This window comes from Homo sapiens, chromosome 18, assembly GCF_000001405.40.
Source record: "Homo sapiens chromosome 18, GRCh38.p14 Primary Assembly".
NCBI classification, from domain to species: domain Eukaryota; kingdom Metazoa; phylum Chordata; class Mammalia; order Primates; family Hominidae; genus Homo; species Homo sapiens.
In genome coordinates, this window is record NC_000018.10 from 61,944,083 (window position 1) to 61,960,976 (window position 16,894).

Here is a 16,894-nt window from a genome sequence, read left to right on the forward strand (position 1 = left end):
GCTATTGTAGTGACTGTAAGGTCATATCTCATTGTGGTTTTGATTTGCACTTTGCTAATAACCAATGTTGTTGAGCATCTTTTCATGTGTATTTTGGCCATTTGCATATATTTGGAGAAGTCTATTTCAAGTTCTTTGCCCATTTTAAAATTGGGTTTTTTGTCTTTTTGCTGTTGAGTTGTAAAAGTTCTTTATTCTGGACACTAGGCCCATAACAGATATACGATTGCAAATATTTTCTCCCATTCTACAGGTTATCTTTTCACTTTCTTGATGATGTCTTTTGACATTCAAAAGTTTTCAATTTTGGTGAAGTGCAATGTGTTTTTTTCTTTTGTTGCTGTGCTTTTGGTGTCATATCTAAGAATCCATTACTAAATTCAGAATCCTAAATGTTTATTCCTAAGTTTTCTTTTAAGAGTTTTACAGTTTAGCTTTTGTATTTAGGTTGTTGATCAATTTTGAGTTCATTTTTGCATATGGTGTGAGGTAAGAGTCCAACTTAATTCTTTTACATGTGGATACCAGTTGTCCCATGTCCATTTGTTTTATTGTTTTGGTTTTGGTTTTGGTTTGGTTTGGTTTCTTTTTTGAGGCAGGGTCTCACTCTATCATGCAGGTTGGAGTGCAGTGGTCTCACTCATGATCTCAGCTCACAGCAGCCTCCACCTCCCAAGTTCAAGCGATTCTCCCACTTCAGCTCTCCAGTAGCTGGGACTACAAGCACGTGCTGCCACACCTGGCTAATTTTTCTGTAGAGACAAGGTTTCACTATGTTGCCCAGGCTGGTCTCAAACTCCCGAACTCAAGCCATCCACCTGACTCAGCTTCCCAAAGGACTGGGATTACAGGCATTAGCCACTACAGCCAGCCTCTACCTCCATATTTTTTAAAGAAATAATTTCTCTCACTAAATGGCTGTCTGACAGACCTTTGTTTCTCCTCAATACATTGGTTCAAATTGTATTTTCAGAATCATTAACTTTAAAACTTCAAACTAATAGAAAATCAAACTTAGTACCTATCTTGTATTCCTAAAAACACTAGTTTTACTGTACTCTTGTCATCAGTTAGCAGGTTAAAATGCATGTATAAACTTGTCCCTTTAAGATTTGTTAAAGATGTATTGCACTGTGTGCGTGTTTGTTTTGTTTTAAATAAAATTGTCTGCTTGTGCCAAAACAAGACAATGATAGAAGACAATCTGAGGGGGTATACCACAAGTGCAGAAAGGAACAAAATGTAAACTTACTAGCCTGAATATAGTGAGTTTGAAAGAGGCCAAGAAATAAGTCAACATTTTTTCAAAATTGGCCCAGTGATAATTCGTTTGTCCATAGGGTGCAAAGGGCTTATGTATCATTTACTGCAGATCACGATATCTATGGTAATCAGAAAGCATAAAATTAGAATTTGGGTTTCCTTCTGTTAAAATGAAAAATTGAAAGAATGAAAAAGATAAGTGTTAAATAGTTTAACATGTCCAGGTATCAGTGGTTCCCTTTATTACTAAAATACTCTGTAACTCATTGTTTTTTGTTATACTTTTGAATCCATTTTAATAGATCTTCAGTTTTGAAATGCTACCATTCTTAATAATCATTTTTACCTATTGCTGTGTTTATTTAAAATATTACCTAAAACTATTTCTTGTCTTCATGCCTCTGTGACTAATGCTCATGTTACCTCTGACAACTCTTTTTGATATTAACTTTCCCAAATTCAGGACCAAAGTTGAATACCAATCCTATCAAGATATCTGTTATACCTAAAGTATCTTCAGAGTTTTTTAGTTGTCCATTGGCCGTGACAAAGATTTTATCTCTTGCCTTGTAAGAAAACAGATAATATGGAGAGTAAAAAAACAGGTAATTGAAATAATCTGGCATTCTCTAGTTTTAAAATATTCAACACTCTTATGTCCACAATATGAAAAACCGGCAATTAAAAATAGAAGCTAAACGTCTCTGTATTAATTACATATAAGTTAAATGTAATTAATATAAATATTTCAGTACTTATGAAATTTTGTATCAAAAACACATGTTAATGTTCAAAGGTTGGCATGGTAACTGCAAATAAATAGATTAATTTCAAAAAGAGATATCTTGGTTTTCTACATAAACACTCTTGTCAATTGATGACAATCAGAATACATAGGGATAAATTAGAGACCCTGAAGATTTCACAATGTCCTCACTGTTTATGTGTTCTTAACCTCAGAACAAGCATCAGCAAACTCCTAACAAATTGATTGCTTATTGCATCTCAAGAGAGAATTTTTCTTTACATTCTGATATTAGGATTATTTTAATAAATTGAGCAAAGCCTTTGAATCTTATCATTCAGAAGTATTTTCTGCTTTTCCCCCCCACTTACTGAAATACAAAAACAAATCAGAAATTGATGCCGAAAGAAATATCAAAGGAGCCTAAGTAAAGGACTGAACCAGATCCTCAGACAGTTGAACCTACAGGGAATAGACTCATAGGTACAGGCTTCTCATTGTGAGCCAACTTCTTCACCCCAGACTGCAAGACTGTACCAAGAGACTGAATCAGGATCCTGGAACTTTTCCCCTCCCGAAGCAAATGACTTCATGGAAACAGACTGTTTAGTCTAAGATCAACAAAATACAAATGAATTCCCTAGGACGAGGTGAATGAAATGCAGTGATTTAATTGCAGTCAGGATTCTATTTTAAATGGGCATGGCAAGAAACCCCTTTTCTTCTTAATCTAGCACTGACCCTCAATTTGACAGATTATGCTTGTTCAAATTGGTGTGAAATCTTCTTTAAATGGTATCTTGTTCCAACTGAGCCCTTGGAATTCAGGGAAAAAAAGTCTTAATAACATAGACTATAAATTAATATAGGAATAATGATTTTATAAAAAATAATGAGATGGAACACTAATAACGATTAAATATTATGCAAAGTGCCTTCACTAAATTCCTCTACTCTCTGTAACTGTAAATTATTTGCATAAGTTCAACAAGAATATGTTCCTTTTCCAGCCAGGGTATAATTGGATAAATCAAATCTATAACCACGATCATGCCAGAAACCTCATCTAATTAGGTAAGACAAGCCCAGGGACTATGCCTCCACATGTGGGGAGTAAGGCCCTCGAGGTCCTCCCATGAAATTGATCTACAGTCTGCTCTGTGACTTATGGGACCCCTGCCTCAAAGGCAGGCAGGGAATATTGACAACAAAAAGATATCAGGGAAAGATGAGACTCTAATACTTTTAAAAGTTAGAGGCACTTTGGGCAAAGGCTGGGCAAAGGCTGGTAGATGTGAATTGGATGGTTCTTGGTTCCTGATCTCAGTGGACCAACTGAGAAGGAAAACAAAATACTTCTGAAATATAAAGGTAAATTATACCCTTAGGGGTTTAACAAGGCCTCCAGCACTAACTTTTAAGTGTTAATATCATGTTGCTCTAGCTTTATTAAAACTAAAAAAAAAGGGGGGGTCCTTGTGTAATGTGTAACACTCATTGCTCCTATGAAAATAAAAATCATCAAATAAAGCAAAATATCAAATTAATGATACTGAGTCGGAAAATCACTAGGCATCTTATGTGACCAAACTGCACCTTAGGGACGGGGAACTTGAACAAAAGAGGGATCTCCCTAGGCAAAACTGATCCTTTGCTCTGCTTCACTGTGATTAAGAATATGACATAGTACAGTTAGGAAAAAAGGGGAAAGAGTTTGCACTCTGAGATAAACCAAAAATAATAGGGTCGCTCTGTTGATGTCTGTTCCCCCAGATAATAAAAACTTGAACAATTCCAACAACCCTGCCTGACTCTCTAAACCAAAAACAAACAAACAAACAAAAAATGGCTTTATCCCTGACTTTCACAATGCCAACACGTGTGAGTATGATGATCGTGTGAAAAAGTTATTGTATTCCACCAAGAACGAAGTAATATAAATTTGACCAACTTGTAAGGCTATGGTTTTCTTCCTGTATTTGGTTCTTTCTAAGGAGGATCAGTCCTTTTGAAATCTGACTCCCTTCACGTCTTTGTAAATTAACTTTTCTTCATTTCTTCTTTCTAAATGCTTTTGTCTGTTGCTTTCTGTGCAGAAAATCACCACCCTTCAGTATTAATCAGACACTCGCATAGGGGAGGGTTACTCACTCTTTTGGGACATTTTTCACACAAGCCTATCTGGCAATTTCCTGCCATGAAAAGGGACCACCCTGGCTGCCCTCTTTCTCCCTCCCCAGGGGCTTCAAAGCCACAGGCCTGAGTGTTCACTGTCAAGGGAGCGCATAGACACTGTCACCATGGCTGAGGACCAATTAGCTTTTCAGGGCTGCTGTTCTGCAGAGACAGAACTATAAAAAGGAGATCTGTTTCTGTTACAGTTACCAAAGGTAAAGGGACCCTTGGTGCCACTTGCTTAGTTAGGGACGCGGCATTGCTCATTGTGCAGCATGTGTGAATTTCACTCTGTACATCCTTGGTCTCATTCCATTTCCATAAGCTCATGTCCCGGTTATATTCAGGAAGCTCAGCCTCTGATCCCCTGGAATGTGCTAAAGCAGAAAAGGAAAAAGCTGCACTGCTATTCTTGGTCAGCTTCATAATGAGGAGCTTCAGATTTTCTATAAAATGAAAGAGATTCAATTGGGTGAGGTCACCAGGTCACAATCTCCCTGAGAACACTGCTATTCAGAGCAAACCTCCTTCCCAGAGGGGTCCTTAAAGTTTAATAACATCAGTCAACTGCAGCAAGACCCTGTGAGAACACAATCTAAAAATGAGCTTCTGTGTGCCATCTATTATGGGGAGATCCGGTTTACCTTGTGTGCAATTTTAGATCATCAAAGGTGACATTGAGTGCTGGCTCCTAAATTTCAATCACAGCCTTAAACACCCTGTGATTTAGCCAGTAGCAGTTCTGTGGCTCTTTGAAAACAAAAGGCCACCTTCACAAGCCTGGGGGAAGGGTTTACCCCGCAGTGGAAGGCAGAGAAGCACACACAGTAAAAACCACGCAACAAAAACATGTCTGCTGAGTTGCTACAGCAGGACACGGGATTGTGATGTCCCTGGTAGCATGCTGTCAGATATTTTTTATGTGGGACTTCTCTTTTGGTTTAGAATTTACATAGTATGACATCTAGCTTCTTAACACTTAACATCAAACTCAGTGAAAGAGAAAGTAGCACCCAAGGAAGGAAAAAGTGTGCCCTTCACATTGCTACCCACCGATGCATCCAAAAACAAGGGCACATCTCCAATAAATCTTGTTGAGTGAAAAGGGCAGACACAATGAGTATACATTGTTACGATTCCATGGAGATGAAGCCTAAGGACAGGTAAAATGAATCTGTGATGATAGAAATCAGGAAGTGGTTGCCTCTGAATGATGGTCTTGATTGGGAAGGGGGATGAAGGAGTCTGGGGTAATAGATATAGTTGTTTACATGGGTATATGCATATGCAAACATTCCTCAAGCTTGACTGTATATAAGTTACATCTTGATTCTAAAAATTAGCCCTAAAGTTGGGACTTCTAAGACCACTCATTAAAGGCAAGTGGCAGATCCCCATTCCCTGCCCTACCCTCACTCCCCCCGTGCCTGAATAGGCCCAATACTGCCCAGGGCTGCTTGTTGTCCCTCATGAGCGGTGGTGGTCCCACTGCTCATCTGGCCCATGGTTCCCCCGTATGGAAATTCTGGGACACAGCCAGGGTGCCCACTTCTCTCTGTGCTCACCCAGCTCATCCAGTCTGTGTTTTTCCCTCCTTTTGACCAAAATACTGCAGTGAGATTGCCATCAAGATGAGACGGATGTGTTCTGGCATCTCCCGACCACCTCTGTCCCCCTCACCATTCCCCTTCGGAAATACACGTCCCCAGCCTGATGCAGTCTGACCTGCAGTCACTCCCTGCTTCTGACTCCGCAGCAACCCCGGGAACGTTTCCCACCCACTTTGCTGTCTGCTTTGTTCCATTCCTTTTTCTTGGTTAATCACAACATCCATGCTCGTTTGTGCCCTGTTTATGAGTCACTATACGTGCTGGAACCTGAATTGAAACTGGAATGCAAAACCCTTGAGCCAAATCATGACGGGAGTCTGACCTCGGCTCTCCTAGCTCATCCCTGGGCAGCCCCAAAGCCTGTCCTTCTCCCTGTCTCTCTCACCCGTGAGGGCAGCTCTCTGATTTGATATGGGCTTTCAGTTATTAGGTTTCACTCTGGGTGTGTCTAACAATACTAGGATGCTATCGGTTTATTAGGCATTGGAATTGGGATGCTTAAGCAAAACAGGGAGAAACGTGGAGACATCTTTGGCCAAGCTCAGATGCAAAACTGTATTGAGAGATAAGCACTATTACGGGTTTCCTCTTCAGTGTGGTGACATTTTTAAATGGGAGCAGAGGAATTTTTTCCATTTGTTTCCTTCTATTAACAACATCCCTTATAACATTCCTGAGATCTCAGGGAAACGGTCACCCATGTTTTAGTTTTGTCTCATACTATATAAATTAGAAGCAAAGTAAATTTCTGCATGTGTACTCCCCTGAGACCAGACAATGTTCCCTGAAACCTGGCATGCACCTTCAGAGCCCTGGCACTGGGTGTGAATTTCAAAACCATATTTTTCTCTCCAAATAATTGTCCTTGTCCATGCTCAGTCAGGTGTTTCCTCACATAAATCCCTAGGCTTCAATTAAAATCCAAACAGAAAGGAACTGCTACTCATTTTTTAACCATTTAAATAGAATAGCTTTCTGCATCCACATTAATTCTTTTTATAGGCTATGAAGGGTCTATATGTACTATGATTTCTTTATTTGTATTAGAGTTTTATATTTGCAAAAATAATTTATGTTGTTTAATTCATCAGCCCTTATGGTACCTTTGAAAGAGCAGAATTATACTCCCATTTCAGAGGCAAAAAAGTACAAATCAAGGTCATGTCTGAGAAAGCCTTTAAGAACTCAAGGATTACGTTTCCAGTTTGTGTCTTCGTTTGTAAGTTTTTCCAAATCCTTTGGTTCCATGACCACTGTCTTCCCATCAGCCACCCAAAACATTGTTGGGAATGTCCTTCACTGTGACTCCGTGGATGCCAAAGGAGCAGTGATCCTACAGAAAGTCCAGTGTTCCTTCATGTGGCCCTTGAGGTTCCTGGAGAGAAAACCCTGGAATGCTTCAGGGTTTCAACTGTTGGAAACTCTTCCTGCTTTTCATTCCTCTAATTGCTTACAGTCCCTAAAACCTCAAACGCTTATTTCTTTTTGTCCCCTAATGGTTCTCATAACAGCAGCAGTGGACCAGAGCTGTCTAGTTGTAAGAATAAAAATTTTCTGGATCCAGGGCTGGAATTGTTAGGGAGGACTGTGGTGACGCATTCTGCATTTCCTTTTTTGGAAACAGAGTCTAGCTCTGTCTCCCAGGCTAGAGTGCAGTGGCGCGATCTTGGCTTACTGAAGCCTCCACCTCCCGGGTTCAAGCGATTCTCCTGCCTCAGCCTCCAGAGTAGCTGGGATTACAGGAGCTCACCACCATGCCCAGCTAGTTGGTTCAGGGTTTTCCATGGTGATTGGCCCCATCTCCGGCACTACCCCAATGTAGTTACACTGCTGTCAGCAACACATTCAGTAGGTCAGAGTTTTAGGGCCTCCTTCAATGTCAAAAGCCAATTCTTTTTGCCACTTACCTATTACCCAGGAAAATGAAAGGATTCATGCTGCTTACTGTTTCTTCTGTATGGTTAAATGTAAGAGACATGGGGCATTTGCTTGGAGACACATGGACATTTATTTCAACTTCAGGATGTCGCTGAGTTCCACTGAAAACATTCTCTTGGGGTGAATTAAAAAAAAAAAAACCCTTCCAGGGTTGTTGATGCTAACATTACAATGGCCTTAAACATGCTACAGTTCCTGGACTAAGGAGGATCTTACCAATGCTACTCAGGCATGACATTGCCTTAGACAGCCAATCACCTTGTTTCCTAATTAGATAAGGGCCTACACATTATTTTGTGAGAGAGAGACCAAAATTCTATCAGCCATAAAGTAGGCTGGAGAAATCCCAAATCCTTTTTCTACCTTGTCACTTCGTTGCAAGACATTACCTACCGCTATTCCAATCACTAATTGGTGCTTTCTGCTATACAACAAATGAGCTAAAACTTCTGAGTTGGTTTCATTTCCTTTAAATTCTGCTCATTACTAAGAAGTACCAAACCTCAAGCTTATTAAAACCAGAGTGTGGGCTGCTTATCACCAGGGGCTATGTCCTTTCACTGTAAGAGAACTCAATTTGCATCTTCTGGGATTTTCCCTCACCTCCTCCGGGGAGCTTAAGCGAGTCTCCGCAAGCCTCACTGGAGGCCTTGTTACAGTCAGCTCACCAGAGACAGGGAGCAGACAGCATTTTTACCCACGGATCCATGAATCATCACCACCACACATTCTCAGCAGCAAAACTGGGCTTTCCACTACCTGAGGCTGTCTCTTAAATACAAACAATTCTCCACTCATAAACAGTGCCTTTTCAAGCAATTGTTAGAAATGCGGAATGTGGCTGAGCTAGGTGGCTCATGCCTGTAATCCCAGCACTTTGGGAGGCTGAGGCGGGTGGATCACCCGAGGTCAGGCATTCGAGATCAGCCTGGCCAACATAACAAAACCCCATCTCTACTAAAAATACAAAAATTAACCGGGCGTGGTAGCAGATGCCTGTAATCCCAGCTACTCGGGAGGCTGAGGCAGAAGAATTGCTTGAACCTGGGAGGCGGAGCTTGCAGTGAGCCAAGATCGTGCCACTGCACTCCAGCCTGGGAGACAGAGTGAGACTCCACCTCAAAAAAAGAAAAGAAAGGAAGGAAGGAAGGAAGGAAGGAAGGAAGGAAGGAAGGAAGGAAGGAAGGAAGGAAGAGGGAAGGAAGGAAGGAAGGAAAGAGAGAGAGAGAAAGAAAGAAAGAAAGAAAGAAAGAAAGAAAGAAAGAAAGAAAGAAAGAAAGAAAGAAAGAAAGAAAGAGAAAGAAATGCAGAATGCATCACCACAGTCCTCCCTAACAATTCTGGCTCTGGATCCAGAAAATTCTTATTCTTACAACTAGACAGCTCTGGTCCACTGCTGCTGTTGTGAGAACCATTAGGGGACAAAAACATAAATAAGCATTTGAGGTTTTGGAGACTGTAAGCAATTAGAGGAATGAAAAGCAGGAAGAGTTTCCGGCAGTTGAAACCAGGAGAGAAGCAGCAGTGAGAAATATTCTGCCTGCACACTGAATGACTGGATGGGCCAACATGATCCTCTCTCACTCTGCCTAGAAATATTCACGCTCTGTTGTTAACCTGTTGTAAAGAAGCTGCTCCCCCTCGCACCTGGGACACCCTGCACATGTCCACATAAGTCCTGCAGGCAGAGGAGACTTGAGTCGCAGCTCCTCTGAGCCTGCAGAGCTACTTACGGCCCTCCCTGGAAGGCCCTCTCCCCTTCCCTGCCTGTCTCTTCTGGGAGGCTGTTAGAAGGTTAATTCCCATCATATCCCAGGTTGTGAAGAAGAATGAGGTTTCCTTCCTTGCCCTCTTGAGAAAAAAAAACTGCAGATGATGAACCTGCTTAGCTGCCGTCTAAGACTGGGCTCTTGGCAACAGGGTTCCTCCCAACTCAAGCTGCTGTCATGGTTCCTCCTGCCTTGGTGTCCTGCTCTGTCACATGTGGGAAAAGGACCGTGGGGAACTGGCACTTTGGTGGGTCTTTCCTTTCTCTCTAGGTAAGCAATACACTGAGAGTGTCTCATTGCACTTTTACCGTCCAATCAGTCAGAACTTGGCCTTAACGGCTCCTGTGCCTGACACATGTTGGTTATTTAAGATCCATTTCGGTAAGAGGTAATTCTTTTGAAAATCCAAATAATTATAGGACCACCATGGTTAACTTTTTGGCAGGAAGAGGAGCAGTTCATAGAGCCCTCTGTGCACACTTTCCCTCAGAAAAACATAACTGCACAAATATTTGTATACATTTTGTAGAAGGGTATATACATACTCCATGGACCTCAGGCAGAAACCTCTGCTGTCAAGGGATTTAGGTCCAACCAATTACTCAAGCCATGAAATAAAATAGTATTATCAGATTGATGTTCTCTTATTTATGAGGCACCATGCTAAGCAGTTGAGTTGCAGCAATGGACAAAGACTGCCTGTCCTCATGGAACATATGACTGGCCTTCCCAGTGCAAAAGGCAGACACTAATCATACAGTCGCAGACATCAACACAAAGTGCAGCTGCAGGAAGTCAACAGGAGGGGTGCATGGTACCATGAGGGCTTACAGGAGGATCTGAACCAGCCAGAGAGACCAGAAAAGCATGCCCTAAGAAAATGTGATTGAGCTGAAAGCGGGAGGGTGGCAAAAGCAGAGAGGGCCACATGTGCCAAGGTCCTGTGGCAGATGGCACCAGGGAATCTGCTGGAAGGGGGCCCATGTGGCTGGGTTTCAGGGAGCAAGGGACAGTGTGGATGAGAAAAGGCAGGAGAGGTGTGTGAGGGGCAGCCACACAGGGCCTTCCGAGCCTCAGTAAAGGATTCTCCATGCTGCGAGAAAAAATGAGAGGACTTTCAGCTAGAGGCAGGTGGGTGGGCGTGCTGACCTGATTTGATTTGTGTTTGAAGCTGGGACTGCAGCACGGAGGATGAGCTAGATGGGGCTGGAGCAGACATGGGAGAGCCCCATGGTGCCCTATGCTGGGAGATCAGGTGTGAGATTAGGGAACTGTTAGAGTTGGAGGGAAGGGACAGATTTAAGAGCTATTTCTAAATATTTAAAAATTTTTAATTACTGTGGATACATAGTAGTTGTACATATTCATGGGGTGCATGTGATATTTTGCTACAAGCATACAAGGTATAATGATCAAATGTGGGTAAGTGGGGTATCTACCACCTCAAGCATTTATCACTTCTTTGTGTTAGTAACATTCCAATTCCACTTTTTCAGTTACTTTAAAATACATAATAAATTATTGTTAACTCCAGTTGCCCTATTGTGCAACTAAACACTAGATTTATTCCTTCTATCTAACTGTATTTTTGTACCTACTAACCATCCTCTCGCTATCCCCTCCTCCAGACTGCCCTTTCCAGCCTCTGGTAACCAGCATTCTGCTCTCTATCTCCATGAGTTCAGCTTTTTTTAGCTCTCACATATGAGTGAGAAGATGCAGTATTTGTCTTTCTGTGCCTCGCTTATTTCACTTAATATAATGTCCTCCAGTTTCATCCATGTTGTTGCAAATGACAGGATTTCATTCTTCTTAAGGCTGAATAGTATTCCATTATGTATATGTACCACACTTTCTTTATCCATTCATCCACTGATGGACACTTAAGCTGATTCCATATCTTGGCTATTGTGAATAGTGCTGCAGCAGACATGGGAGGTGCAGATATTTCTTAAATATATGGATGTCTTTTTGTTTGGATATATACCCAGCAGTGGTGTTGCTAGATCACATACTAGTTCTATTTGAGAGCTGATACGGTTTGGATCTATGTCCCCACCCAAATCTCATGCTCAGTTGTAACCCTCAGTGTTGGAAGTGGGGCCCGGTGGGAGGTGAATGTACCATGGGTGTGGTTTCTGATGGTTTAGCTCCATCTACCTAGTGCTAGTCTCATGATAGTGAGTGAGTTCTCATGAGATATGGTTGCTTAAAAGTAGGTAGTATCTCCCCCATATTTTTCCTCCTGCTCTGGCCATATGAAACGTCTCACTTCCCCTTTTGCCTTCTGCCATGACTGTAAATTTCCTGAGGCCTCCTCAGAGGCCAAGCAGTTGCCAGCATCATGCTTCCTGTACAGCCTGCAGAATCATGAGCCAATTAAACCTCTTTTCTGTATAAATTAACCAGTCTCAGGTATTTCTTTATAGCAATGTGAGAACAGGCTAATACAAGAGCCATTTAGGAGATAAAACTTGTAGGACTTAACAGAGACATGCTGGGCAGGTCTGTGAATTGTCAGTGGAGAGGAAAAGTTAGTAACTGCAGCATGGGGTGCTCTGAGCTGTGGGTCCCACAGCTGTGGAATGAGGAGTGCAGGAGGAAATGCATTCCCCTCCTGTTTTTCAGAGTCACTTGGCATTGGGAGGATTTCATAATGCTGACTTTTGCCTTTGCTGCCTTTCCTACCTCCTTCCATTGCCCCATCAATCTTCATTCAGATGGTACCTGCTTGCATTTCTTATGGGTATAGATTCCAGAATTAGAAAGAAAACAGATGGCCCAACTAACACCACCTTTTCACCTGAAGTTCGGAGGTGAAAATACTGCCCAAGATTTTAGATGTCGACGTTTCAAATAAACAAGAATTTATTCGTCGAAAATGTATCCTGTTGACCACTAATCCCCTGAGATGCCCTTCAAATGTTTGCTAAAATAAACTTGTTACACACTTTATATTGCAGTCTTTTTTGGATATGCATGATGCTCATTAGCATATTAAAGTCTCAGAGGAGTCCTGCAGCAAAGAAACACTAAATTCTGATTTCCTAAAGTGAACTCTTTTACCCTAACTCCCACTACTATTCCAAGCGCACAACTCAGGAAACCCATCCTCAGACCTCACTATGATTTCTCTTTTTTTATCTTTATTAAAAAACCCTGAATACTTTAATAGTAAAAATACATATTTATATTTCTCTCTTTTAAAAGATATTTAATAACAGGCTGGGCACAGTGGCTCACACCTGTAATCCCAGCACTACGGAAAGCCAAGGCGGGCAGATCACTTCGGGTCAGGAGCTCGAGACCAGCCTGGTCAACATGGCAAAACCCTGTCTCTACGAAAAATACAAAAATTAGCTGGGAATGGTGGTGGGCACCTGTAATCCCAGCTATTTGGAAGGCTGAGGCACGAGAATTGCTTGAACCCAGGAAACGGAGGCTGCAGTGAGCCAAGATCACGCCACTGCACTCCAGCCTGGGTGACAGAGCAAGACCCTATCTCAAAAAAAAAAAGATACTTAATAACAATACTTCAGAAGACTGGATTTAACTGCCCTGCCTTCTCCCTTCTGCCAGTTGTCCACCCTGGCACAGACACATGAAGGCAAAGGCCCCTGGAAAGAAACATCCCCCTTGGCTGTGACCTGTGGTTCGAGGGTGAAGACACTCTGCTGCTTGCAAGGTCAACAGAAAGGCTGTTCCCTCCTGTTCACTGAGCCATCCTGCATCCTGAAGTAGGCTCTCTCAGCCATGTGGATGAACAGGCCTGTGTCCACCACACGTGGGACCATTCTGGCAGCTCTGTTCACTTCACCCCATTTATGTACCTGGTCAAACTTCCAGTCCAAGATAAAATTCCCATTATCTGTCACCACTGGACCTGCCTTGTTGACAGCCATTTGGAATTCAACCACACCTGTAAACTTCTGGCTCATAGCTCAGCTCACTGGGACGAAGGCCACTGGGATTCCCTTGTGCCACTGATCCCCAGGGTTCTTTGAATCTTTCCTGATGACGGGAAAGAAGCTGACAGGCCTGGAGGGAAGTGGGAACGCAGACCAGGTCAGAATCTCCTGCTTCACCTTTCAGCTACTCGCTGCACAGCATGGACACTTGTAGAATCACTTCCAGTTCCCAGCACTTGGTTATTCCTCATGTGGTTCTCCACCACCCCGTGTCCCGCCAGTTCTTAGCCTCCTTGGCCTTGGACATCATGGAGGGGGCCAGGCAGACGCTGTTGGAGTTCCCATAGCTGGTGCTTGTGCTGCCAGCATTGCAGCAGGTCCTGGACTGTGTATGCCCTGAGAGCTGCACGTGGGAGCCCTGGAGGTTCCAGCTGTTCCCACCTCCGCTGGAGGATGCACCCCCAGCCCACCCCAGAGCAGCACCAGCAGCCGCCTGTAGAGGTTGCTGAAGGGCCCAGGGCACTGCCTCCTGATGACTCACTCTGGTGTCTGCTCTGTGATTTCTGTCGTCCCATTACATTAGGGCCTGAAGAAGTTTCTCGGGCTGTTCTTTTTGGCCTGCTCCCTCAATTCTTAGTCTCCACGGTTGGGAGCTGCTCTCTAGCTCCCACTGAAGCATCCCACCCCTTCTCATCCCTTCAAAATGCTCCATGCTCCACAATCACCCAATTGCTCCTCAGTTGCTTTCAAATCAAACATCCGTTGCCTCAGTACAACCACTATCAGCTCTCATAGAGGAAACAGTCTGCACCAGCCGATCCACGCTGATGATGAATGACTAATAGCCCACGACATCCTGCCCCTAGAAGACACGTCTTATCCCAAACAATCCCTGCTGTTGTGATTTTTCATAAACCAACACCAGGGGCAGAGGTTTTGGGGGCAAAGGAACCACCATAAAAAGCCGACCAGCCCTGGTCACTTCCTCTAAGTGATTTCTCCTCTTCAAAAATCTACTTTCTCTACTCTTGAAATCACAGGATCTATAAAATATTTCCATCGTCTAGTCATCTGCTACCCCAGGAGCACCAATTGGTGTGAGCAGCAGAGAGAGAGCTGTTCACTTTTCTCGAGGCTGCGGAGGGAAGCAGGCAGGGGACGAGGCCTGTGATGCTGGATGGATTATGCATGAGGTGCTCACTAACTCTCATCTGTTTGTGACAAGCTTACCACTATGAAGTCCTCCAAACCCTATGGGAAGACAAGAATGATGCTCATGTACTAGTTATGTAACCATACAAACACTTATGTCTTCATGCGCCATATTTTTTCATCTAAGATGAGGCAGGTATTGTCTTTATGAGCACTGGCGGCACCCATTGGCTTACGTGAATGGTTCCATCAGACATCCCTGGATCTTTTCCCTTTTCTTAGCTTTTCTTTGTTCATTCCTCCAGCCCGTCATAAATGTGACTCAACTTTTTCCTTTTCTCTTTTTCTTTTTGAAACGAGATATCTCTCTGTTGCTCAGGCTAGAGTGCATTGGCACAATCCTGGCTCAAAGCAGCCTTGACCTCCTGGGCTCCAGCAATCCTCCCACCTCAGCCTCCTGAGTAGCTGGGATCACAGGCATGCACTACCATGCACATACATGATTATAATCAATATTTGTTTTTGTTTTGTTTTTATAGAGATGGGGTCTCCCTATGTTGCCCAGGCTGCTCTCAAACACTCCCACTGAAGTAATCCTCCTGCCTCGGCCTCCCAAAGTGCTGGGATTACAGGCATGAGCCACTGTATCCTGCTGTGACTCAGCTTAATCAGCTCTTCTAGGTTTCTCAGGGATTCCTTGTGTTCCCCTAAGTTAGAGAGAAGCTACGAGTTGTTTCTTGAGATCACAGTGCATCCTCTACTACAAAGAAACTTTTTGGTTGTTCTCTTCCAATTGGCTGGGCAGGGGCCACATCCTTCAGAAGAACTTGGGAGGTTCCTTCTATGCTAATCCAATGGTCTCTTTTCTGAGAAGTGTACATTCTTCTATTTCTTGGTGTCAGAAATTCTTGATCATCAAGCAGATTGTCTAAGACCTCTATTCTTTTCTTTAAATTATCTTTCCTTCCCTTTATTCTATGACAATATTCCTTCACCTCTTAATGTGAATGACTGCTTTCTGTCCTTACAACCTTCTCTGACATTTCATTCAGCCTTCACCTAATTCTCCCACTCCAATTTCTGATGCTCCGACAATAGTGTCAGTTGCTTCTAAGAACTCCTTCAGGAGCTGCAGTCAAGAGTGAGGACTCTATCTCTGCCTCTCTGTCTCTTTTTGTCTCTTTTTCTCCATCTTTCTGTCTCTTTCTGTCTCTGTATCTTCCTCTGTCTCATACACACACACACACACACACACACACACACACACACACACACAAACAATCCTTAGACCCCATGTTAGGAAATACTCTTAGAAATATGGCTAGTACCTGGTATAATTTAAGCAGAACAACAAGACCTAAAAGCCTGAGAGTGTTCCTGGAAACAGAAGATCCTATTATTGCCAACAGTTTGAAATCGTCAAGTACTCACATTTTTCAAGCCACTTTGCCAAACAGCTAAACATGATGCAAGTCTGCACTATTTCAAGTCATAGTTCCAAAGTTCTTTATGAGAGGGGTTATCTCTGGCATGTGTCCAGATGGATGGGAAAATGCCAGCAAACCACGGCAAAAAATACTTGGCTAGCTTAGATGTAGAAGAGGAAACAAATTTAATGAGTTCCAGGTATAAATCATCCATGCTAGCTATTTTATTGCTCTTCCCCTGGAACAACAGTGTCTTAAACTTCTCTGGGATTGGCCCAGATAGAACATACATAGGGAGAATCATCACTCCATAGGCTAGAGCCACAATTAGAAGAGCTGTGGTTTTTTTCTATGAAGCGAGCAAGGCTGCCTGCATTGGACACTGTGTTCACAAAGTATAGACTGAGGAGATCAATCAAGCATCATTTTAAGGAAAGAAAACCTCAAAGGCCTGCCTTAATTCTGATACTTTGCTAGAGTCCCATCCCTCAAAAAAATACAGTTGTTTACCCTTTAGTTTTTCATGCCTTATTTGTTTCACCCCTAAGGAAATGACTTCTGTTTCGGTTCAGTTGACCTTGCCGGAAGTTATGCACACGTGGACAGCCATGAGGACTAAGGAGCAGTGAATCCTATGGACCCTTTTTCTTTTATTTATTTGAGACAGAGTCTTACTTTGCCACCCAGGCCAGAGTGAAGTGGTGCAATTATGGCTCACTGCAGCCTTGACTTCTCTGGCTCAAGTGATCCTCCCATCTCAGCCTCCCGAGTAGCCAGGACTATAGGTGCACATCACCAGACTCAGCTAATTTTTTTATTTTTTTTGTAGAGATGGGGTCTTCCTATGTTGCCCAGGCTGGTCTCAAACTCCTGGGCTCAAGACATCCTCCTGCCTCGGCCTCCCAAA

The 16,894-nt window shown here is 42.9% G+C and overlaps 1 pseudogene, besides 2 other annotated features; it reads right to left on the reverse strand.

Moving 5' to 3' along the window:
- Positions 11,597-11,706: a silencer, noted in NCBI's record as "silent region_9501". NCBI's record gives its function as "represses an Ori minimal core promoter by ATAC-STARR-seq in GM12878 lymphoblastoid cells {active_cell/tissue: GM12878}" and the evidence as "EXISTENCE:reporter gene assay evidence [ECO:0000049][PMID:35858748]".
- On the reverse strand, positions 13,012-13,515 carry RPIAP1 (ribose 5-phosphate isomerase A pseudogene 1; annotated as a pseudogene).
- Positions 14,496-14,665: an enhancer, noted in NCBI's record as "experimental_48468 CRE fragment used in MPRA reporter constructs". NCBI's record gives its function as "activates a minimal promoter by MPRAs in K562 erythroleukemia cells, with activity observed for the non-introgressed 18:59625896 variant allele {active_cell/tissue: K562}" and the evidence as "EXISTENCE:reporter gene assay evidence [ECO:0000049][PMID:34662402]".